This window comes from Homo sapiens, chromosome 9 (genome assembly GCF_000001405.40).
Source record: "Homo sapiens chromosome 9, GRCh38.p14 Primary Assembly".
Lineage (NCBI taxonomy): Eukaryota > Metazoa > Chordata > Mammalia > Primates > Hominidae > Homo > Homo sapiens.
The window spans coordinates 13,195,644-13,222,203 of record NC_000009.12 but is presented as its reverse complement, the minus strand read 5'-3'; the positions used below and the strand labels follow the sequence as shown (position 1 = coordinate 13,222,203).

Below are 26,560 nucleotides of genomic sequence, written 5' to 3'. Positions count from 1 at the left end.
GAACGTATTTTTCAAGTTGTTTTTGGTTATCTCCAAGTTTCTAATTTGTGTAGGGTCTTTGCACTTCTTGAGTTTTTGTCTGACTATTCTTTTATTTTTCCCCAGCCTGGAATATTTGTTCTTTAAGCATGATAAAGCTTCTAAGTTCTAAAACAACAATTACTTTTCTTTGTGTAGTTTTGTCCTTTGACAGCATTCCTTAAAAATGAAAAATGTAGTCCTTTAACAAAATTGACTTTATCTGTAGACAGATACAAGCTTGATTTTGCTTTAAAAATTATACAATTATATTGTTAGAGTTAGCTGTCAGTAACTTTTAAGAAGTCATCTAATTTGGAATCCTGCCTCAAGGCAGGATTATGCAGAAGACATTCTTAACATGTGACCTTTTTTTTTCTTTGAACTTTTTCTTTTTTTTTAAAGAAGTTCTACAAAAGATCTTGCAAATCAATGCCTGTCTTTAACTGTTGAAGTGAAATCATTATGATGATATATTGATAATTTCAAGAATGATTCTGTCAATGGCACTTACATTCTGTTGAAAGGGAAGTATACCAAATGAAAGGGACATTGTTAGGACTCATTATTATGTCTGAATTTAATTATTTAATATTAACAAAATAATCGCAAAAATTTCTACTGTAATGTAAAATGGTAGTGCTTTGTAAATTTCTACAAATTCATATATGAGCTTTGTTTGTAGGTTCACTGGCAACACATGGAAACGATTGAATTGGTGAATGATGGATCTGGTTTGGGATTTGGCATCATAGGAGGAAAAGCAACTGGTGTGATAGTAAAAACCATTCTGCCTGGAGGAGTAGCTGATCAGGTAGGCTACATCAATAGATCTTTTATGCTATTTTATCAAATAATATGGGTACATCTTTTACATTTTTTTGTTGGAAAGAAGAAACTTTGGCCTTAAATGATGCCAAAGAAATTGAGTTAGAATCTTTCGTTTTATTGAGTGTCCCTAAAATGTTGTCTTAGACCTAGGGGAGGAATACCTTTGAAAAGGGACAGTAATCTTAAGTTATAGTTTTAGACAATGAGTTTAACACTTTTGAACCTCAGACTAAAGCCAAGGTTATGGATTTGATAATTGTGGAGGTAGCTACTATTTGTTTTATAGTCATAATTCGTATTTATATACCTAGTCAGCTGTTTTATAGTCACAGGGTATTGTGGGAAAATATACTTTTGTATTCAGGCAGAAAAACAACATTCACCTTGTTCCTTTAGTGATGGGTCATTGGTATCATCTTTGTGTATGAAACACAGCCTGTTTTTTATCACTTGAGTAGTTTATTGAGGCATTACCATTTATGATATGTGACATTGTTGCAATATATGTGAGAAAAGATTTAACACATTTGTTATGATTTATATCTTAATTTGATAAGGCTTACTGGTTTAAGTAAGTTTTGCCTTGATTATAACTTTTTAAAAAATAAAGTGGTTGTTTATACATGTGTGTTTGAACTTAAAGTAGGAAGTCCAGCTCATCAAATATTCCCTGTATTCATAAATGAAATTCCTGTTTAATGGCAACCTTGTCAGTAGGGGTGTTAACGGTAATATAATAGTATGCAAATTTTTCTTCCTTTTAAACATTAGTTAGCATCTAGCAGCATCAAATGAAATGTCTCTCGTTGACTAGCATGTGATATTTACATGCTTTATCTTCAATGTGGAGCTGCACTCTTCAATATTGTAGCTGTCTGCATATCACCTTTAAAATTAAAATTTAAGTTAATTAAAATTAAATGAAATTACAAGTTCAGCTTCTCAGTTGGACTAGCCACATTTCAAGATCTCCGTAGCTATTGTATTGAGTAGTGCAGAAGAGTTCCATCATTGCAGAAAGTTAATGGACTGCATGTGTATGGAGGCTCATAAGACTGCTTTTCACTCCTCACATCTTTCTGAATTTTCACTTCACAAGTATTTCACCTGCACATGAGTTCTTTTGGGACATTTATAATAGAAATAGCCAGGCAGAAAGTTGTGATATTAATATAATGCTTTCTTGTGGTTTATACCACATTTTAGGTAATATATATTTGCATGGTGATTTATATACAACTTTGCTTAAGGGCATTTTCTTCTTTCCCTCCAAAAAATTCACAAAAAGGCATTTAGGTAGAAATCAAAGTGAAAAGTTCATATGAACTCTTGGTAGGTAGAATCAAAATGAAAAGTTCATATGGACTATTGATTTAAAGACTATATGTGAATTTCATTTATTGCATCACACTGAATGATGTTAGGATGTTTCAAAAGACAGTTAATATTATACCCATGTGTTTTATTTTATGTCCTGATTGGTAACTCATATTATTGCTTTTCTAAAATTAATCCCTTCTCATTTAGGATTTATCTGTTGCAGTTAAAATAATAATAGTCTAATTATTCAATATTGTTTTACTCAGCATGGGCGTTTATGCAGTGGAGACCACATTCTAAAGATTGGTGACACAGATCTAGCAGGAATGAGCAGTGAGCAAGTAGCACAAGTCCTTAGGCAATGTGGAAATAGAGTTAAGTTGATGATTGCAAGAGGTGCCATAGAAGAACGTACAGCACCCACTGCTTTGGGCATCACCCTCTCCTCATCCCCAACTTCAACACCAGAGTTGCGGGTAAGTAGTTAAGAGTAGTTAATGTGAAAGTCAGAGAAATAACACTTAGATGACGACAGTGATGTTTACTTAGAAACTAGACTTACTAATGTTCCTATATTAGTGCTAAAGAATGGAATGAAATTCAAATGTAGGGATGCTTTAGCACTAATGATATTTTATTAATCAGGAATAATGTGTAAAACAAATGAAAAATAGGTTGCTTAAACATGCTAGATTATTTTACATTTTTATTTAAGCAGCATATTTATGAGGATAATGTTTTAAAGTATGGGTAAAAGTTTAAAAATTATTTGGTACTGATACCTAAAATGTTTAATTCTGTCTTTTTCTCAGTTAGAAGACTCTCTGTAAGGTGGGTCATAGTTCTAATCATTCTCTTTCATCAACTTTCCCATTAGTATTTTTGTTTTTGTTTTGAATGTGTGGAGGTTGAGGAGTGGGGGCAGGCTTGGTGAGTATGAATAAGGCTTACTAAAACCTTTTAGTGTTATTGTTTTAAAGTATGTCTTAGAACTGTTATCAGATTTGTAATAAGTAGTCATTATTCTGACCCAGTTATATAATTTTTTAAACAAAAGTTATTCTTTTGGTGTTATAACAAAAACTTTATTCATATGCATAGCATTCCATCCTTGTCAACTTGATATGAAAAAAGCTAGAGAATTTCAAAATTATTGGAAAGTAGTGGGTATCTCAGCAGATTTACAGGTCGCAAGACTACAGAGGATAAATATCAACAAAATAATTTATCCAGAAGTCTCTTAAATATTTAAGAATTACACCCAGTTTCTAGATAAGCCTTATAGTAAATACACGTCCTATATTCTTTTCCCATAGATGTAAAAAATCTATGTTTTGTTCTATTAAAGTTTTTTCTAAGCAGTTGCTACAAATTCTTTTTTAATATCCTAACCTCCTCCACAAGCCCTTTAAAACTTTATTAGAACACTTGTAATTTCCATGATTCTGTTGTTTTTAGGATTGAATTTGGTTGCTATTTTTTGCAAAGAGAAAGAAGTAAAGAATGCTTGTTTATGAAAGTGTTTAAATGGCATTCTTTTATGGTAAACAAAACATTTTATTCAGCGATATATAAATGAATGCAATACCGAAAACCACTTGATGTAATTGAAAGCTTAGAAAAATATCTGTTCTGTGCATATCATCATTTCTGAAGCTTGTGCCCCTTTTAAAACCATTCGATAGTCAAATTGCCACTCTCTAAAATAGCACTCGCATAAGTCTTATTAAAAATAGAAAACACATTTGTTTCAATTGAAGCAGATTTCATCCTGTCATTTTCTTGTAATTATCTAAACTTTAAACTTTTGCTAAGTTTGCACAGATAATTATGTGCAATGAAAAAAATAAATCAAACTTTACTGTAAAATTATATCTCATTTAAGTGGACTGTCAGAGTTTGTTTAAAGAAATTAGAAAACATCAGCTAGCCCCAACCTGACTGTCCATTAGAATCTATAGCTTTGATTTCTTTGTGCTCTTCTTAAGGTTCTCTGTAGGATCTGCTGACACCATGCTAATACATAGTACCAATAGCTTATTGATGATATATTGTACCAATCAACTAATGCTTAATTTTAGGGAGACTTGCTCTTCAGTCCAACATAGAATTTGTAACAACTCTACACATTAGAGAAGGTGGCATCTGAGAAACCCACTTTCAGTTATCATTCAGGATGCTGAATTATGAGGAATTATGAGGAATAATGAATTAAGACATGTAGAGTCTTAATCCTGAGTTACACACAAACTGCTCAATAAATGGTAGCTGGTCTAGTTGTTGTTATTCTTTTCCTGATAGTTGACCAAAGTGATATTTTCTTTCTAGATGAAGTGGCAAAGCTAGATTTAACTTGTTGATCTGAATTCATAACATTAGTTCTTTCAGATGTACTGCATCCTGACTTCTCCAGAAATTAAGATGAGCCATCTCTGAAAATAGAATTTGCTAAAAAAAACCTGTTTGATTTAAAATTTATTGTACGCAAACAATAATGTATTCTCTGATAAGGGAAGGTTCAACCTTATTCCTGCCTGATATCCCTTTCTGAGCAAAAATATGATGATGCCTATCCCTGTTTTCAGGATTAAAGGAATCGTCTCTGCTATAATTCTTTGCTAGAGAATTAAAGTAGGCCTGTGGCTTTATTTTATCATGGTTTTTTTGTTTGTTTGTTTGTTTTTTGTTTTTTGTTTTTTTTACGTATTATTTCACTGTATATTTATTGATTTTATTTTAGGTTGATGCTTCTACTCAGAAAGGTGAAGAAAGTGAGACATTTGATGTAGAACTCACTAAAAATGTCCAAGGATTAGGAATTACCATTGCTGGCTACATTGGAGATAAAAAATTGGGTAATTTTAAACATTAAGTATTCTTTTAAACTTGACAATTACCTCTGATATCTATCTCTTATAAAATATTGAGTTGATATTACATGTTTCAGGTTGTTGGATAAACTGGTTGAAAACTTCCTTAGGAATAATTTAGTGTAGGTGACTCTTATATTGTATTTAAGACAGACAAAACAATTATCTTATTCTTTAGCCTGTGTTTCTACTAGATGATACGTATTTATTCTGAATTAGAGCTTTATAGTTGGAGAATCGAAGATGGATATTCTTTGAATGTGCTTTGAAAATTGTGAAAAATAAACTATTTCTAATCTTAGAACCTTCAGGAATCTTTGTAAAGAGCATTACAAAAAGCAGTGCCGTTGAGCATGATGGAAGAATCCAAATTGGAGACCAAATTATAGCAGTAAGTTACACATTTAACAATAGCTTTGTTAATTTTCATGGTTGAGAATTGTATTCTCCTAGTTTACTTAGTTTTGAGAGCTAGAGTTAACTCTGTACTAATTTAAGCTTTTTTGGTGACTTGAGGCTATTATTACAATTACCCTTTCTATTATTTTGTGGAAGTAAAATAAGGGTATTGGATATAAGCTTTACTCATCTCAGTTCCAAACGGGAGACTTCCTTCTTGAATAATTCCTGATATATCTAATTTCTGGTTGTAATGAATTTATTACATTAATATTACACTTATACGTTCCTTGCAGATACTCCAGAGGTAGAGACCAGATGTCCAGTACCTTTAGGGTATTGGAATATGAATTAGGGATGCCTGCATTGTTTTTTTTTTTTTAATCAGCAGAATGATACTGTTATTGTTGGCTTTATGGCCGCGGCTGCTTTCAGCCCTGAGGATATATAAGAATGAAAAAAAAAAAACCTAGCTTCTTGTAATTAGTTCAAGCTATCATTGTTATCGTTGTAACATCAATGTGTTTTAAACATGGCTATTCAAGGCACTGTACAGAAGAGCCCAACTTTAATTTCAGTGTTCAGTTGATACCGGACTCCCCAGACTGCAGCCTGAAACAGAAATTCAAGAGACCCTGCAACAAAACTTCCTTATCAAATAAGTTTAAGGGAAAACTGCCTACAATATAGTCTTGTATGAATTCACAGTGCACATAGAAAAATTGAAGACAGCTGGGTGTCTTCACTGAGCTGGTGGCTCATGCCTGTAATCCCAACACAGGCAGATCCTATCTCTAAAAAAAAAAAAAAAAAAAAAAAACAAATTGCTGAATTGCTGGGCATGATGTTGTCTGCCTGTAGTCCTAGCTACTTGGGAGGCCAAGGTGGGAGGATTCCTTGAGTCTGGGAGTTCAAGGCTATAGTGAGCTATGATTGCACCACTGCACTCCAGCCTGGGCAGCAGAATGAGATCTTGCCTCTAAAAAAAGACAAAAAAAAAAAAAAAAAAAAACCTGCAATAGAGAAACCTGTTTATCTGTTTTACCTTAGTGTTTACTAAACTTTTGTAATTGTGAGGTCTTTATTTTTCCAAACATATATTCATATTCTTTGAAAGACATCTTGAGGGAATGCTGATTTATCTTATTAGGTATTTGTTTATGCTTAAGTTTCTGTTGTTCCCTTAGAATCTTAATAATAGTGAGAAAGTAGGATATTAAGGTAGAGGAGTCCTTATTCATAGCAATATTATTCACACTCGCCACGACATGGAAGCAACCCAAATATCTATGAATGGATAAACAAAATGTGATATATATATATATATCATATATACACACATATTGATATATATGTTGACATATATAGATATATAGACACATATTGCTATATATACACACATATTGATATATATATATCAAAATGTGATATATATATATCCAATAGAATGTTATTCAGTCTTTAAAGAGAAGGAAATCTTATCACATGCTTCAGCACTGAAAAACCTTGAGGACATTATGCTAAGTGAAATAAGTCACAAAAAGACAAATACTGTACGATTTCACTGATATGAAGTATCTAAAATAGACTTATAGAAACACAAAGTAGATTAGTGGCTCCCAGGGACTGGGGAGAGGGGAAATGAGGAGTTGTTCAATGGGTATATTTCTGCAGTTCTGCAAGATGAAAAAATTCCGGAGACCTGTTGCACAATGATGTGAATATACTTAGCACTATTGAATTGTACTATTCAAAATGGGTAAGATGGTAAATATTGTGTTTTTCTACCACGATTTTAAAAAATGGAGGAGTCCTTTATCTCTCCCTTTAAGTCCACATTATAACTCCGTGAGTCTTCTTGGGTTTTGTTCTGTGAAACTCCTACCTACACCTGTTCACCTCTTCAGATCTACACTAAAGATCAAGTTGTGCTTGCCACCTCATCTGGCTATATGCCCGAAGTGAGCTTTCTCTGTGTATCTCCATTTTACCATACAATGTAAATGAATTACTGTACATGTTTTTGTTTTGAGGGAAAGTGAAAGACAGAAGGAATACATACGGAGTCTAAATCCATATCTGATGCTGAATTACAAATTGAAAGCATAGCTAATTTACTTTTTTCTCCTAAGTAATCTATATTAATCAATTAGAAAACTTTTAAAAAAATAAGCTTGATTGAAATGTAATTCACATACCATACAATTCACCCATTTAAAATGTACAGTACAGTAGCTTTTAGTGTATTCACAGAGTTGTGCGTTCACTACCATGGTGAATTCTAGAACATTTTTCAGAACCCTAAAAACATTTTCAGTACCCCTTAGCAGTCACCTTCTCCCCCATTCTCCCAGTCCTGGGCAACCACCAATCTACTTTCTGTCTCTATGGATTTGCCTGTTCTGGATATTTCCTGTAAATGGAATCATACAAGATGTGGTTCTTTGTGACTGACTCCTTTCACTTAGCATAATGCTTTCAAGTTTCATCTGTATTGTAGTATGTTTCAGTCTTCATTTCCCTTTATTGCTGAATAATATTCCTTTATATGGATATACCATATTTTATTTACCCATTCATCAATTGATGGACATTCGGGTTGTTTCTACTTTTTAGCTGTTATGAATAATGCTGCTGTGAACATTCACGTACAAGCTTTTATGTACATATATGTTTTCATTTTTCTTGGGTGTATACTTAGGAGTGGAATTGCTGAATCTTATGATAATTCTGTGTTTTACCAGTTACCAAATGCCCTGATTCAGTTTCTTCACTTACAAAGTTGGGATAAGGAAACTTCTCTTGTGTGATATTCAGGAAAATCAAATGAGTATTTTATTGACAATATCTGATAGCAGATATCTGATAGCAGTTTAATAATTAAGCAGATATTATTTATTGAGGGCTATCATTGAAAGAGTCTCATGATAACTTCCCCCTAAATTTGTCATTATCTTCATTCTTATATAAGTGGAATCTCAAATATAATTCCTCTTAGGCAAGGTCAGTGATGAAGGAAATTGTTGATGCAAAGGTGGAAGAATCTTTTCTCTGAATTGTTTTCTTGCTTTCAATAAAATCACTTGACTTCACTCATCAATATTCTGATTTTTAATTTTTAGCAAACATTCTTTTACTACAAAGATATAAGCATTTTAAATTCCTGGAGAACATCATGCAATGCTTTTGAACATGTATTAATTTTTTACTAAATATCACCATCTTGTGGACTTTTGAGATATTTGCAGTAATGTTCTTCACATCCAGTTGCATTTTCACAACTGCAGTCTTTGTCTGTTATTTGTTCGATTTTTGTTTTGACAGCAGCTATTAGGAGTATAATCTATTTTTATTTTGTAGTTGTTGAAGTGATGAGATTAAGAAATTATTTCTTACTATTTTGAAGAGTTATTTTGTAACTTAAAAATATTTTGTTATAAGGTTCTTGTTTTACACATTGTGTTCTGTGGACCCCTGGGTCAACAGGGTTTCACTGTAGGCATTACAGTGACAAGGAATAGACTGAATGTCTCCATTTTTCCCATTTCATATGTTGGTATTCTTTAAATAATTTGACTATTTGACAAAAGGAGTCTGTTGTTTTTTCAAAAAGTTGAACAAACTTGTCATTAGATAAAAACACTCATTCTTTTTAGTTTGATATTCAATATGCTAAAAGCAGTAGGAAATTATGATTGATAAAAATTATTAAATAAGCATATAAATAAGGAAAAGTGTCAAACGTTGCCTTTGGTTTTCTGTGACTGTGTTCATAGATTGAAGTTCTCTCTTTATACGTATAGGATATGTTGGAGGAGGCCCTGGCAACCTAGGTTGAGTATGCTCAGGGGCCAGATTTTGTAAGTTGTTCCAACTAGTATTTCTCCCCTGTAATTGTTCCTGTTAATTGCAGTGTCTGCAGTGCACACTACGAGGATGTTGGCTCTCTTCTTTTTTTTTTTTTTTTTTTTTTTAAACCTTGACCAGGTGGTCTTGAACTCCTGGGCTTGACAGATCCTCTCGCCTCTGCCTACCAAAGTGCTGTGATTACAGGTATTAGCCACCGCACCTGGCCTGGATCTCTTCTTTTCATGAGATAGCACATAGGCAATTTGCTGCCATTATACTACCTAGTTCTACTGCACTCTTCTCTGTGGTACCATGGGTTCTGAACTGACTTCTTGACTCTCTTGTGATAAAGGGGAACCAGAGCTAACCAGGACCCCTTAGGCTTCGTGACTTTGGCTCATATGTAGCATGGGTGTGATTATATTGAACAAAAACCTCTCCCAGAAAAGCCTTGGAGATTTTTATGTTTATTACTCACTTCTTTACTCTTTTAATAACCAGCTTCTGAGTATCTTCCCAGTACAAAGTGCCATGTGGTATAATTCTTGGAAAATAGATCTTATTTCCATAATACAGATGAAGGTAACTAAGACATTTGAACAGAAGTCTAGGTTTAAAAGTTCATGACTGTTCCATTATAGCAGTTTCTTCTGTGCTAGTATTATTCTCTGTCATTTGAGTAAGGAATACATTTTAAAATCCAAGTCATCAAGTTCAGAAGATAAAGGAAAAAAACACAGTTTTTAAACATATTTTAAGTTGTTATTAAATAAACAAAATCATACACATTAGATTTTTCTAAATAAAACTTCACTTTTAGATAGAATTGAACAATAAGAATGTTTTGCAGATAAAAAACAGCCTAAAGTTCTATGCATTTTATGAATTTTCATGGAGCCCCAACATGGAGATTTTTGCCATTTTTTTCCTTTATTACTGTGAGAGTAAATAACATGTTCATTTATTTTACATTAATTTTTGTCTTTAAGGTTTAAAGAATATAAAATTTGAACATGGTTAAAAAGCCTTCTCATAGAAACCACTCATAATAGCCACTAATAATAGTTTATGGTTTAAAATTTAGAAAAATTCTATGTATTTATACTTAAATAGCATCATATTATATTTGCCTATACCTTTTTATTTTACTTAAAAACTTACCTGGGAAAGGTAGTTATGTAAGCACATGTAGGTCTGTTGTGATATATTGAAGCAGGCTTAATCATGGATCGTTATGTTGTTTACAGTTTGTTGTTACAGACAGATTATTACATACTACCTTATATTTCTTTTAAGGACATGAAACATTTAAATTCTATTTTGTTGCTGTAATACTATTATTTAGATTTGAATTTTACTTATTTTGTTGCTCAGCACTGTATCTTGTATACTACAGATTTCTTAGTTTGAATTTTAAATCCAATTAAACTCATTTGGCTGGAGTGTTTTGAGTAAACTTTACAGAAAGAGAATGTTTTAGCGGACTTTCTAAACTTTTTGTCTCTGAGAACCTCTTGTGTTGACTTCTTATATTTTGACTATTTAGTTGGTGATAACAAATATGTTGGACAAAGAGGATTTATTAGGTATAATCTTAACTTAAAAAATTTTGTCATCAACTGCCCCTTTTAATTTTTAATGGGGAAGGTTCTTCCCTTTCCCCTAGAAGAACTCTTAGGCAAGTCTTCATGTCTTGGGGTATTCTTGTAGAGTAAGTTATCCTGTGGCCAATCAAAATAATCAGACACAGTTGCAAATTAGTAATAAAATTTTTCCCATACTAAATAATAGTCTAATTTCAAATGAACCCCCTGGCATATTAGAAGCCCGCTATGAACTGATGGCTTACCTAGAGATAGAGGGTATATCACTCAGTCTGTCTCTCCCCACCTAATTTTTCTTTTCTGCCCACACCTTATTTTGGCTTTTATGGTGTAAAAGTTGAGAGAAGAGAAGGAAGAAGGAAGGGGCATTTTGTCTGACTGCTGAAAGATGGCTTTGTGCTAAGTGAGCCTGGCAGATGTTCAGAACTGACTATCTCTGAGGGTTTCTTCTTGGGCTCTTGGAAGATTCCAGTGGAGGTATATTTGGCTTAATTTTCCATGAATAACAGATGATGGATTTTTAACGTAGCTGACTCTTCTTCCCACTGGCCCCTGATTTCTCAGCAGTCTGTTTCATAGATTGTCTCTTTTGAGTCCCATCATTCCCTTGGAGTCCTGTAGTAGGTTTCAAAATGACTTGAGCCTGGCTCACTCCTGTGTGGTCTATGCCCAGACAAAGTCAGGGAGGTGAGCAGCTCCCAACATAACAGAAGTTTCCTCTGGCTCCACTGTCAAAGCAGCTAAACAACCTCTTCCTTATCCTCCTGATGGCATTAGACACAATCTGCTGCATTGCCTCTTCTGCAGGTGACTTTGGACTTGAAGTCAAGGGGGAAATACCTGGGTGGGTAGGGTATATAGCATTCTTTCCTCTTAAAAAAAAAAAAAAACTTCCTCTTAAGTTTTTCTTAACATTTAACAACACTTAGTTCTTTTATGCCCTGAATGTGTGTGAATTGTAGTTCTTTACCACCTAGTTTAAATTTCCGCTTGGTGGCCCTTTTTACAACTTGCTTTGATATAGGATATTAATAATCATAGCATCTCAAGCACAATTTCTGTTTTCTCATACATCACACTAAGTATAAGATTCTTGGTTTGTAATTTCTTTTCCACAATTGTACAGATAACCTAGTCTCTCTCTTTGCTGCCTAGAGGCTGGTAGATCTTTTTTCTTTTTATCTTTGAAATATAAGAATTTTACCAGGATACATTCAGGTGTGAGGTTTTTTTTTTTTTGTAATTTCTCATCATTTTCTGTTTTTTCATGTGCCTTTTTGATTTGTAGAGTTGGGTAAGTTTCCCTTCTCCCTAATCCTTTCTTTGATTTTTTTCCCCCTCATTTATCATCTTCTCCTTATAATTTCTTTTATTAGTGTGTTGGATTTCCTAGCTCAGCCTATGAGTCTCCAGCCTTGTTTCTGATCATTTTTTATCGGTTTATTCTTTTCCTCTGAGCTATGGGAAAATTGCATGCATGACCTGGACTTTGTTTTTGCAGTACTTAAAATCTTGTTGACTGCCTTCATTGTAAGTTTTCTTTTTCTTTTTTTTGGGGGGTAGATACTTGTTTCTTCTTTGTAATTCCTGCTTCCATAAATACAAGGAAATGTGAACTATTTTGATAGTAAGTTTCAGGAAATATCTTTTTTCCTGTTCACTGCAATAACAACTTCATAGGAAGATACATGCACCGATCTTCAGTGTGCAACCTGCTTTTGGACCGTGATATTTCACATTCCATGACCCTTGGTCATTCTCAAAAATAACTGGGCTTATACAGATAGAAGTTGAGATGGGTTCTGCTGCAGATTGTATGGTTTTTTTCCAGATGTTTTAAGAATTGACAAAGTGACAGGGAAGGGGAAAGTTTAAATTTACTGTAGCTTCACTTGATTCATTTGTAGATTAACAAAATGAAGAGGAAACCAGTGGTAGAGGATCACACTGGGGGATTTTGCCTGTTTTTGTTTTCTGTGTTTGCTCTGATAGCCAGGAGTTATTTGGAGTTGTGTGTGTGCTTGTATGCACACATGTGTGGTTAAGGTAATTTTTATTACAAATAAAGTAATTCTGTGCTATTACATGCAACCCAGCTTAGTATGGCCTTTAGTACTTGGTGTGTTTCTTGGAGTTACTGGTTAGGATCCACATATACCATCTGATTGCCTCACTTAATGAGAGGGTGTTTTTTGTTTTTTGCTGAAGTTTCTTCTTACAGACCAGACAGGCTATTCCCACACATACAGAGATTCAGTTGGCCTGCCTTTGATCTGGCCATGCGCAGACCATTTCTAGTAGAAATTCCTCCAAGTTGCTGGTCTAAGGACCTTGGTGCTTCTTTGGTTTCCAGTTTTGTTGCAGTGTTTTCTCTGTTCTATTTTGTTAGTTTTTCTAACAGGGAATCAGCAGGGTGGAGATAGGGAGAAAGAACAGAGCCAGATACTTATGTTCAAGTCACCATCCAGCTCAGAAGTATCATAGAAGGTTTAAGGAACTGACAGAGTATGAGATTTTCATCTAGATCAGAGGTTTCTGGATTTTTGATTGAATATTCCCTCTAGTAAAAATAACTACTCATTTTCCCTCTTTCTTCCTCACTATATATTCATATATATTGTTGTTATATATATTATATATATATATCCTATATAAACTTAGACATTATATGCTGTTTACATATGTGTACATATACATAATTACATATATACACACCTACATATACACATATTTACAAAGCAAATGAGTTTTTAAAATGTTTATTTAGAGGTTTTATTATATTCTTTCAGAAACCTTTGCAGTAAGGGTACTCCATCTTGGAGACAACTGATCTAGGTCTTTTTTTTTTTTTAATATTTATTTATGTAAGACAGGGTCTCACTCTGATGCCCAGGCTGGAATGCACTGGCATGATCATGGCTCACTGCAGCCTTTTGAACCTTCTGGGCTTAAGTGATCCTCTCAACTCAGCCTCCTGAGTAGATGGGATTACAATCATGTGCCAATACGCCTGGGTAATTTTTCTGTTTTTTATAGAGACAGGGTTTCAGCATGTTGCCCAGGCTGGCCTCAAACTGTTGGGCTCAAGCAGTCCTTCTGCCTCAGCCTCCCAAAGTGCTGGGATTACTAGGCATTAGCCACTGCGCCCAGCCTTGATCTAGATCTTATAATTTTCGCATATTTACTAAGTTAGTAAACATCTGAATTACAAGATTTAGATTATAAAATCCAGATCTTTTCTAACTTAGTAAACATTTGAGTGCCTAATATGGCCCCACTATGCTTGGAAAAGCATTACACGTACAGTCATTTTATAGTCATTTTGCAATTCTAAGGAATATTAATGACTTTGAATTTCAGCATTAAATTTATTGCTCTGCTTTTTCAAATTGTTTTTACTGTGATTTTATGAATTAAACAACATGTTGTTAAAATTTATATTTATCTACCTCAGAATATAATTTGCTTTACAAATAAGTTTTTGACCTATGAGCCAATGGCTCTGTATTTTAATATCTATAGTATGGACAGCACCATGTTTTGATGACACTACTATAAGGAAAAATGATACAGAGCCTGTCCTTGGAGTATATAGTCATAAACTGCATAATAGCAGAAAATGTAAAATTAAAATTCTGAAAAATGCTATGAGGAAGAATGGGTAAAAGGGGGCTTTGACGGCAGTCAAAGACATCAAGGTAGTTTATTATGAAAACAACTATTGAACTGAAATATAAAGCAATTATATGTATTTTCTAAGTAAGCTATTGAGAAAGAGCATGGTCTAGAGTGGGCTATCCAGAGAGTCCAGGCTGAGGTAACAGGACTTGCGGAGACTCCATGGCTGAAGAGAGAACTGCAAGTCAGAGGAATGGAAGTGAGCCCTCTGTGGCTGAGGGGCAGAGAGTAATGGACAGCATCATGAGAGATGAGGTTGGGGCTGGTGGGAGGTGGGAGCAGTTGGCACAGGCCATTCTAAGCCACGTTGAGAATTTGGAGCATTGTCCTAAGGAGTTTTCTGTAGAAGAGAGGGTTGGGGAGATATGATCATATCTATATTTTGGAAAGATCACCGGGACATTTTTGAATGTTTTGTCATTTGTGAAAAGGGGAAAATCAAATGTATTTTTCTGAAAAGACAAATAGACAGGACACTTTTTTTCTTTCTTTTTTGAAAGGCCATATAAATATGACCTTGTGATACATCAGTGCACTCAGTGAGCACATTTATCACTGTCTTCTATACCTTTTAATCCTGCATAGTTCTGGTTCCAAACTTAACTGTGCATTGAGATCACCTGAGGAATATAAAAGCATATTTAGAAAGGAGTAGAAGTAGGGCACAGTGGCCTGTATCTGTAAACTCACCATTTTGGAAGGCTGAGGTGGGAGGATCCCTTGAGCCCTGGAGTTCAAGACTAGCCTTAGCAACATAGGGAGACCCCATCTCTACAAATTTTTTTAAAAAGTAGGCCGGGTGCAGTGGCTCACGCCTGTAATCTCAGCACTTTGGGAGGCCGAGGCGGGCAGATCACGAGGTCAAGAGATCGAGACCATCCTGGCCAACATGGTCAAACCCCGTCTTTACTAAAAATACAAAAATTAGCTGGGCATGGTGGCACGCACCTGTAGTCCCAGCTATTCGGGAGGCTGAGGCAGAAGAATCACTTGCACCTGGGAGGTGGAGGTTGCAATGAGCCGAGATCGCACCACTGCATTCCAGCCTGGTGACAGAGTGAGAAAGAAAAAAAAAAAAAATAGCCACGTGTGGTGGTGTGTGCATGTGGTCCCAGCTACTTGGGAAGATACGATGAGAGGATCGCTTGAGCCTAGGAGGTTAAGATTGAAGGAAGCCATGATTGCACCACTGCACTCCAGGCTGGGCAATAGAGTGAGACCCTGTCTCAACAAAAAGGGAAAAAAAAGGCATAGAAGCCTGTGTCCTACCCTAGAACTAGTGACTCATTTTCTGGATATGGTACCCCAGAATCTATATTAAAATAAACAGAAGCCTCTCAAATGATTCTAGTGCATCCCTGTTAATACTGGTTTCCAAAGAGATATTAGGGTCTTACTGTCAATTCCCTGATAAGGTGAATACTTATTCTCCATTCTTTTCACACTAACAACTATACATACACATTTTGTGAATTGGTAATACAAATATCCATTTATTTAACATGTAACATGCTTTTTTTTTTTTTTAATCACAGGTAGATGGCACAAACCTTCAGGGTTTTACTAATCAGCAAGCAGTAGAGGTATTGCGACATACAGGACAAACTGTGCTCCTGACACTAATGAGGAGAGGAATGAAGCAGGAAGCCGAGCTCATGTCAAGGGAAGACGTCACAAAAGATGCAGATTTGTCTCCTGTTAATGCCAGCATAATCAAAGGTAATCCTATGTTAATCTGGTTTTTAGTTAGACCTTTATATTGTCTCCAATTTTTTTTAAATTCCAAAGTAACTTACTATTTCAGAATGGTTCTTAATTATTCAGAATGCTTTTTACCCTCAACTATTCATTATAAACCAAGGCGAGTAAAGAAGTGTAATAAAGTCAGGATTGACTGGAACCAGCAATGTGTTTATAAACTATGGAGTAGGCTTCTGAATAGAGCAGATTTCTTTCTATCCTATTCATTGTCACCATTTCTCAGTTGGAAACAGGCAGTCATTTACCTTTCTGTTTCTGCCTTACTTCTGGATGTCATTGCAATGTTCTCACTTTAGGGGGATGCTCTTCTGCCTGGATTATTTATGTGACCTTCATAAAAATTCTAAATGCCCAGCCTTTCCTTGAAGGAATCGACTTTAATTCCACATTTAGAAATGTCATTCATAAGCTGTTTGTACATGAATATGTCTGCAAATTACTGAAACCCCTGTGTAGCTCAGGGGTTTATTGGTAGAAATCAGGCTTTTCGCTGAAAAGTGCTGTTTCATTTCTAAAATTGTTGACCATTCTGATATTTATGCCATTTATACATATTGCACTATTAAGAGACAGAGGGGCAAATCACAGGAGAAATGTATTCTTTTCCACTAACAGAACTTGCCTTTAAGTACATATAGTTATTGAGAAGTTTATCTCTGAAAAACAGATTCTCATGTAGGAGTTCAAATAAATATACTGGGTTTAGAAAAATTCAAGTACTTGATTATACTAAAGATAAAATTACTAAAATATTTTTATCTTTAAGAAAATTATGAAAAAGATGAAGATTTTTTATCTTCGACGAGAAACACCAACATATTACCAACTGAAGAAGAAGGTAAACACCTAGCGCCAGCTTATTGTGTACTTCATTATTTTTCTTTTTTAGAAATGATTTTTACAAATGTGATTAAGCCTCTATGGATATATTGTAAGTTACTAAAAAAAATTTCAAAAAGTGAAGTTTGTAAATCCCTGTTTATAAATGTGACTAAGTGGTCTTATGGATTAAAACATTCCATTTATAGCTAAATTATACTTTTGTTTATCGTTCACTTACACTTTCTTGCTGAGTCAATCTATTCTTACTTCCATATTTTTATTTGACCAGAACTCCTTAGGAATTAACTGTTTGTATGTGTGGTTCTAATTTAATCTCTTTGTTTCTATACAGCCAACATAAACTAACAGTAATAAAATTATAAAGTATTTAAAAATAAACACAGGAGAATCATTAACACATAAGCTCTTGGGAATGAGACTATTCAATTTTGGGAGGCTTTTTATCACTTCTTAATTTTTCAGGGGTTCCAAGATTTAATATTGGGAAGTGGTTTGGAAGGTAATTGCAGATAAATTATCATACCTTCTGGGAATTCTCTCACTATAAACTTAGGACCCATTAAGCTATTTTTAAAAATTTAGAGTAGCATTATTATTATTATTCGTATTAGAGACAGATTTCGCCATGTTGGCCAGGCTGATCTCAAACTCCTGACCTCAAATGATCTGCCCACCTTGGCCTTCCAAAGTGCTGGGATTACAGATGCGAGCCACCACACCTGGCCAGTAGCATTATTTTAATACATAGTTTTGCCAGAATGTTGCTGCCCTCTTTTTATTCTGTTGTGCTGTGTGCTTCCTTTACCTTTCAGATTGCTTTAGGTACTTGGTAACTTAAACTCACTGAACAGAATACAAGACTGATCTCCCTCCCTTCATGTGAATATACTTATACCGAAGCTTTGTTGTTTTTTAACATATCTGTTCCTTCATTATTGGATTTTCTGCTGAAAATTTTGAATGAGCTTTACAATTTTAAAGGGATATTTATGTTTGCAGAGATATTCCAGAAGTTAGATCTATAGAGTTCACTTGTACTAATAACATTCTGCCATTTTTACACTAATAAGTAAAGAAATTATTTAGGCTAAAGTGAATATCAGGAATTGTAGGAAAGGGTAAAATTGTTTAGAGCATGATACTTGTGATATTAAGTGGGCATGGGTGTGGGAGTCGTCTCCAAGGCGCAGAACCATCTATTTTGCTTTGGTGAAGGTAGCTAATGAGAAATCCCTCTCTCTCTCTCTTTCTCTCTCTGTGTGTGTGTGTGTGTGTGTGTGTGTGTGTGTGTGTGTGTGTGTGGCAGGATACATGGGGGTGACTATAGACCTAGAATCAGGAGTCCCAGAATCTTTTTTAAACAAAATAAAGCACAAACTTCTAAGTGACTTTAATGCATCTGCCCTAGTACTAGTCCTCAGACAAGGGGTAAGATATTATTGCCTCTTCCACAGATATTTTACACATCGTGCAAGCCTGGACAAGTCATTTGACTTTCCAGCAAGATCAGAGGTTTAGACTTTATGATTTTTAAATATATGCCTGAAATCCAGTCTTGGGGCAGTTGTGAGAAGGTGAGAATGGAGAGTTGTTCTGCTAAAGGTTGGTTGAATATGAATTGCAGACTGTTTTTATCAGCAGCACGATTCCCCACTTTCTCCATTCATAATCTCACCCGCTTAAATCACTGTCTAGCTGTGTAAACACAGCAGACTTAGAAAAAGGAAGTGTGGAAAGAGATAGGACTCTGAACTGACCCTCCTGTTTCTCTTGCAGAATCAGTTCAAAGCTTCCCTGTAGTCTGTGTTCATCCTTGCATACTTATTTCTCTCTGTACTGAATTTGTTTATTTGCTTTTATTATTTTTAATTGACCTATAATAATTGTACATATGTTTGGGGTACAGTCTGATATTTCCATACATGTATACAATGTATAATGATCAGATCAGAGTAATTAGCATATCCATCACCTCATAGATTTATTTTTTCTTTGTGTTGGGAACATTCAGCACAACATCTTGCTCCTCTGGCTATTTGAAAATATGCAGTAAATTGAAGAGTGACATCAACAAGATGGCAGATTAGAAGTGCCTCCCACATCCTTCTTCCTATATACATACAACTGGAAACTATCAAAGACAAAAATACCACCCTGAGTTCACCAGAACTAGAGAGAGAAGCAGAGAAACTTCCTGGGCCTACAGAATTGAGAGGAGCCATGACTGATAAGATAAATGGTAATTTTAGGCTGAGCTGCACCCTTCCTCAAACTGGCATAATGCCATTCAAAGAGAATTTCTTTAGACCCACAGCTCCCAAGATGAGAGGAGGAAATTGGAGGTAGACATTCATTCTCTCCACTGGTCTGGTAATCTTTCACTGGAAATCCACCTAGGTCCCATTCCTATGAACCACTGGGAGTTCCAGGAGGGCTAAAGCACTTGGGGTGAATTGGGAGCAAAGACAGAGGCACTGATCACAGTGACTGGCATGTATCTTGGCAGGTATTCTGCACTCTGATAAGTGGGTACGCCATGTTGAAGATACTGGCTGGTTCCATGGTGCTTCTGGGGTACAATCTGTGGAAAGATCCTGTCCTTAGTTGGATTTTCTACAAAATCCTGGTGCTCTCATGGAGCCATCTCCTGGCCTAGAAACAACTGAAAGGTTGGGATTAAGTTTTGGTGCCAGCTTAAATCTTCCCCAGGCTGGAGACCCATAGCAGGACAACAATAAAATTCTAGGGCAGTGTTTAATTTTCAGTGCTCACTGTAAGCCTACCCTAGAGGAAATAATAGCAAGTCAAGGAGTTAGTTCCAGGGAAGTGTTTTAGTTCCAGTACTCATGTAAATCCTCCCCAGAATGGGAAAAAAACAACAGCCCAGCATTTAAGTTCTGATACTAAGTAGTAAATCTCTAACACCACCAAAGAGCACTTGCAAAAACTGGAAGAGGTAGCCAACTCCTCAAATGAACCATCATCAATGTAAAAATACAAGGATTGTGAAAACATGGAGAAATAGGATACTACCAAAAGAAACCAACAAACCTCCAGCAATGGACGCAGAAGAATTGAAGATCTATGAAATGTTGTACAGAAAATTCAGAATAATCCTGTTAAAGAGGTTCAGGGAATCACAGGAAAATATGGATAGAAAACAAAATGAAATTTAAAAAATAATCCAGGATCACAATGAGAAATTTGTTTCACTGTATCTTTTATTTTTATCTTTGTATCTTTTATTTTTATCTTTTATAAATAAAAGATACAAACCTTAGAAATAAATAATACAGTAAGCCAAAATCTCATTAGAAAGTTTTGATTGAAGCAAATTTGATCAAACAGAGAAACTTAGTGAGCTTGGAGATAGACCATATGAAATAACCCTATCAGAGGAGCAGAAAGAAAAAAGAATTTAAAAGAGTGAAGGAGACCTATGAGAATTATGGGATACCATCAAGTGAACTAACCTCTGTGTAATAGGGACTCCTGAAGGAGACCAGAGAGAAAAAGGCCTAGAAAGCACATTTAAGGAAATAGTAGCTGAAAATTTCTCAAATCTGGAGAAAGACAACACCATCCAGCTACAGGCTTAGAGGTAACCAACTATATTCAATACAAAGAGGAAATCCCCAAGGCACATCATAATCAGACTAGCAAAATAAAAAAAAAAATACTGAAAGCATCAAGAGAAAAGAAACACCACATTCAAAGAAGCCCCAATATTGCTATATTGCTTTCTAGCGAAGTAATGGAGAAATTTCATGCAAATGGGAACAAAAATGAAGAGCAGGAGTGGCTATACTTATGTCAGATAAAATAGGCTAAGTGAAGAACAGTAAAAAAATAAAAAGACAAGGTCATTATTTAATGAGAAAAGCATCAGTAGGTCAATACAGCAAGCAGTTATAACAATTGTAAATATATATACACCCAACATCAGAGCACCCAAATATATTAAAAAAAATAAACCTGAAGGGAGAGATTTACTATAATATGATAATTGCAGGGGACTTCTGCACCCTACTTTCAGCAGTAGACAGATTGTCCAGACAGAAAATCAACAGTAAAACATCAGTGAGACTTCATTGTAGACCAAATTGACCCAATAGACATTTACAGAACGTTCCGTCCAACAGCTGCAGAATACACATTTTTTTCAACAACATATGGAACATACTCCAGGCTAGACCATATATTAGGTCACAAAACAAGTCTTTATAAATCTTAAAATATCAAAATCATATCAAGTATCTTTTCTGACCATAATGGAATAAAACTAGATATCAATAACAGAGGAAACATTGAAAACTCTACAAATTCATTGAAATTTAATACTATGCTTCTGAACAGTGAATGAGTCAATAAATTAAAAAGGAAATTTAAAAATTTCTTGAAACAAATGAAAATGGGAACACAGCATACCAAACCTATGGCCTACAGCAAAAGCAGTTCTGAGAGGGAAGTTTATAACAACAAATACCTACATCAAAAAAGAAGACAGACTTCAAATAAACAAACTAATTATGAACCTTAGAAGAGCAAGAACAAACCAAACCCGAAGGAGCAGAAAGAAAGAATAATTGTAGCAGAAATAAATGAAATTGAGACGAAAATACAAAAGAGTAAGAAAACAGAAAGTTGGTTTTGTAAAGGTAAATGAAATCCTCAAGTCTTTCGCCATAGTAAGCCAAAAAGACCTAAAATAGATAAAATCAGAGACAAATAGGAGACACTATAATTGATACTATTGAAATACATAGGATTGTTAGAGACTATTATGAACAACTGCCCACTAGTAAATTAGAAAACCCAGAAGAAATGGGTAAATTCCTGGACACTTACAGTCTACCGAGATTATAAGATTAAACCATGAAGAAATAGAAAACTTGAACGGACCAGTAACAAGATTGAGTTGGTAATAAAAAGTCTCTAATTAAAGAAAATCCCAGGACTTAAACTTCACTGCAGAATTCTACCAAACATTTAAATAACTAATCCAGTTCTACTAAACTATTCCAAAAAATTGAAGAGGAGGGAATACTCACAAACCCATTATTTGGGGCCAGCCTTGCCCTGATTCTAAAACCAGAGAAGGACACACAACAAAAAGAAAACTACAAATCCTTCATGAACGTAGTTGCAAAAATCCTCAACAAAATACTAGCAAACCAGATTCAACAACACATTAATAAGATCATTAATCATAATCAAGTTTGATTCATCCCAAGGATGCGAGGATGTTTCAACATATGCCAATCAGTAAATGGGATACATCAAATAGATGCTGAAGAAGCATTCAATAAAATTCAACATCCTTTCATGATAAAATCTTTCAACAAGCTAGCAATAGAAAGAACATGCCTCAGAATAATCAAGGCCATATATGAAAAATCCACAGCTAATATACCGAACAGAGAAAAGTCCAAAGACTTTTCTCTAAGATCTGGAACAAGACAACGATGCTTACTTTTACCACCTTTTTTTCAACATAAGTACTGCAAGTCCTTGCCAGAGCGGTTAAGCAAGAGAAGGAAATAACGGGCATCCAGATTGGAAAGAGATAAGTCAAATTGTCCTTATTTGCAGATAAAATGATCCTATATTTAGAAACCTAAGGAGTTCACCAAAAATGGTTAGAACTGATACATGAATTTAGTAAAGTTGCAGGATACATACTCAACATAAAAAATAAGTAGCATACACCACAGCAAATAATCCAAAAAAGAAATCAAGAAAGTGATCCCATTTACAACAGCTACAAGAAAAATAAAATACCTAGGAATAAATGTAAACAAAGAAGTAAAAGATTTCTGCAGTGAAACCTACAGAACACTGATGAGAGAAATTGAAAAGGACACAAAAATATGGAGAGATATTCTATGATCATGGACTAGAAGAATTAATATTGTTAAAATATCAATACTACCAAAAGATATCTATATATTCATTGCCATACCTATGAATATACCAATGGCATTCTTCACAGAAGTAGAGAATGATCATGGACTAGAAGAATTAATATTGTTACAATATCCGTACTACCAAAAGATATCTATATATTCAATGCCATACCTATGAATATACCAATGACATTCTTCACACAAATAGAGAAAACAACCCTAAAATTCACATGTACCCACAAATGACTCCAAATAGCCAAAGCAGTCTAGAGCAAAAAGAACAAAGCTAGAGGCATCACACCAACAGACTTCAAAATATGTTACAAAGGCCTGTCCTAAAACACACACACACACACACACACACACACACACACACACACACACACAGAGAGAGAGATTAAAGACCTAAATATAAGAACTGAAGGAAACGTTAGGAAAATGCTTCAGGACATTGGATTTGTCTGGGCAAAGATTTTTTATGTAATTTCACAAAAGCACGGGCAACCAAAGCCAAAATGGACAAATGGGATCACATCAAGCTAAAAAGCTTTCCTGCACAGCAAAGGTAACAACAATATAAATAGACAACCCAAAGAATGAGAGAAAATATGTTCAAGCTACCCATCTGATTAATAACCAGAATATATAAAGAGCTCAAAAAACTCAATAGAAAAAAAATCAAATAATCTGATTAAAAATGCAGAAAAGATCTGAATAGACATTCCTCAAAGGAAGACATACAAATGGCCAATAGGTATATGAAAAAATGTTCGTCACTGATCATCAGAGAAATGCAAGTCAAAACTACAATGAGATATCATCTCACCCTTATTAAAATGGCTTTTATCCAAAAGACAAGCAATAATGAATGCTGACAAGGATGTGGAGAAAGGGGAACCCTCATAATGCTGTTGATGGTAATGTAAATTAGTACAGCCACTAGGGAGAGCATTATGGAGGTTCCTCAAAAAACGAACAGTTAAACTACCATATGATCCAGCAGTCCTACTCTTGGGTATATATCCAAAAGAAAGGAAATCAGTATAGCAAAGAGATATCCGTACCCCTATGTTCATTGCTGTTCTGTTCACTATGGCTAAGATATGGAAGCAACCTAAGTGCCGATCAACAGGAGAATGGATGAAGAAAGTGTGGTGTATATACACAATGGAATATCATTCAGCCACAAAAAGAATGAAGTTTTGTCTTTTGTAACAACATGGATGAAACTGGAGGACATTGTGTTAAGTGAAATAAACCAAGCACAGAAAGACACATACCGCATGATCTCACTTATAAGTGGGCGCTTAAAAAGTTGATTTCTGGAAATAGAGAGTAGAATGACCAGAGGCTTGGAAGAGTTTGAGGAGGGGTGGGATGAAGAGGTATTGGTTACTGGGTACAAAAATACAATTAACTAGAAGGAATAAGTTCTAGTGTTCAACAGCACAGTAGGGTGACAATAATAACTTATTGTGTATGTCAAAATAGGAAGAAGATTTGGAATGTTCCCAACACACACAAAAAATATAATAAATGTTTAAGGGAATGGATATCCTAATTATCTGTATTTGATCATTACACATTATATACATGTATCAAAATATCACATATACCCTATAAATATGTACAATTATGTATCAATAAAATATTTTAAAAAGAGAATATAGTTAATCATAGTCACCCGATAGTGTTAGAATTGCTCAGCATGGTGGCTTATTGGTGTAATCCCAGCTACTCGGGAGTGTTACTGAGACCAGAAGTTTGAGACCAGCCTGAGCAACAGAGCAAGACCCCCCATCTAATTTAAAAACAAACAAATAAACAAACAAAAACACTGGAACATATTTCTTCTATCTAGCTGTGCTTTTATATCTGTTAACCTCTGGACTGAATTTAATTTTGAGGAAGTAACACTTATTTGGGGAGGCTAGTCTTCAAACTAAAAATATATATATATATATAGTTTATTGTTTACAGTCTTTTAAGGAGAAAACAGAATCATCTTATTAGCTTAAAGCATAACAGACCTACAAAATATGCCTGGAATGAAAGCTCCTGGATATTCCCACTAAAAGAGGAGGCAACTAATAAGAAATCTGAATTTTTTAACATTTTTTAAATTTGAAATTTGAATGCTAAAAAGGATATTGAAATTTAATTTAGAGAATAGTGCCTAATAGAGATTTTAAAAAGACAAATCTTACGAGTAAGAACTGTTATGAAATATGGAAATCTTTGACTATGACTTCAAATTTCTCAACCAGTTTCTTGTTTTAGGTAAGCATTTTAAATTCAGTATTGTTTACAAAATTTGTTTAGTGTTTTTCTGTCCTTTTAAAAATTTCTCTTTTTGTAAATTATTGAGATACCAATTAATAGGCTTTTATTTTAATGTGTAGCCTTAGTTTATTATTATTTCTTTATATTTTCTCATATATGGAGTTACATATATTATTTGTTGATTTCATTTGTTTGATTTTGTGAAATAATAGCATAGTCCTTTTTTCCCCTGATGAACTAAATGAAAATAAAACAGAGAACATTGAAGACGACATCCCTTTTTACTGTAGCATTACCAGAGGACTATGAAGTGAATTCTGGAACTGCTCAGAGTCCTTACTCGTTTAAATAAAAATTAGATAATACATGGGCACTTTAATGGAGGTAAAGATTTAAAATACATCTGTTAAAAGTGAGTAGTGTCAAACATACAAATTATAGGGTTCTTAATTGAAGTATTTAAATAATTATGGAGATGAGAATAGCCCATATATTGGGCGAAGAGTCTGACGTGATACAGCGGGTTCTGATCAGAGAATCCTTGGTACAGGATGTTAAGATGTGGAGATTTCTGTAGTTTGCTGCTAACTTAATTGCCTTGACTGTTTCAGGGTATCCATTACTGTCAGCTGAGATAGAAGAAATAGAAGATGCACAAAAACAAGAAGCTGCTCTGCTGACAAAATGGCAAAGGATTATGGGAATTAACTATGAAATAGTGGTAGGTTAGCTGACCTTCTGTAATTTTCTAACTTGTAACTGTATTTGAGCAGGCAGTTCGAGGGAATAATAGAGGCAATCATTAGAGTTCCAGAGAAGAATCAAATGTACAGGCCTTTTTTAGACAACCTAAATATGGTGATCCAGGTAATAAAAAAAATTTAGGTTGGAGAAAGGTATATAGTAACGAACTGAAATAAATGGGATGGAAGTTTTGAAACTTGCATTTTATCAGTATTTTAATATTTCCAGTAATAGTATGAATAATATAGACACAAGGAAGGATTTTTCTGATTTTTAAACCTATGATTTATAGAAAGAATCAAAATAGAATGAGTTTATTTAAAAATAAAACAAAATTTATCATGACTTATGAACAGAATTGTAAAAGGACTCTTTTCTACTCTTTCTTTTCCACTCCTATGTATTTACCTTCCTGAAGAGGTTAATTCTGCATACTTTTTTTCATACCACTTAT

General features: G+C 34.5%; 1 protein-coding gene across 57 annotated transcripts in view; it reads left to right on the top strand.

Annotated features, from left to right (window-relative positions):
* Nucleotides 1-26,560, top strand: part of MPDZ (multiple PDZ domain crumbs cell polarity complex component) — a 173,986-nt gene that overhangs the window by 57,489 nt on the left and 89,937 nt on the right. For all 57 annotated transcript variants that reach the window (NM_001375425.1, NM_001375420.1, NM_001375419.1 and 54 more), the window contains 7 exons: nucleotides 704-832; nucleotides 2,436-2,645; nucleotides 4,910-5,024; nucleotides 5,342-5,430; nucleotides 16,105-16,288; nucleotides 17,097-17,168; nucleotides 25,974-26,083. In NM_001375425.1, coding sequence (NP_001362354.1) covers nucleotides 704-832; nucleotides 2,436-2,645; nucleotides 4,910-5,024; nucleotides 5,342-5,430; nucleotides 16,105-16,288; nucleotides 17,097-17,168; nucleotides 25,974-26,083 — 909 coding nt within the window. The remainder of the gene's footprint in view (nucleotides 1-703; nucleotides 833-2,435; nucleotides 2,646-4,909; nucleotides 5,025-5,341; nucleotides 5,431-16,104; nucleotides 16,289-17,096; nucleotides 17,169-25,973; nucleotides 26,084-26,560) is intronic.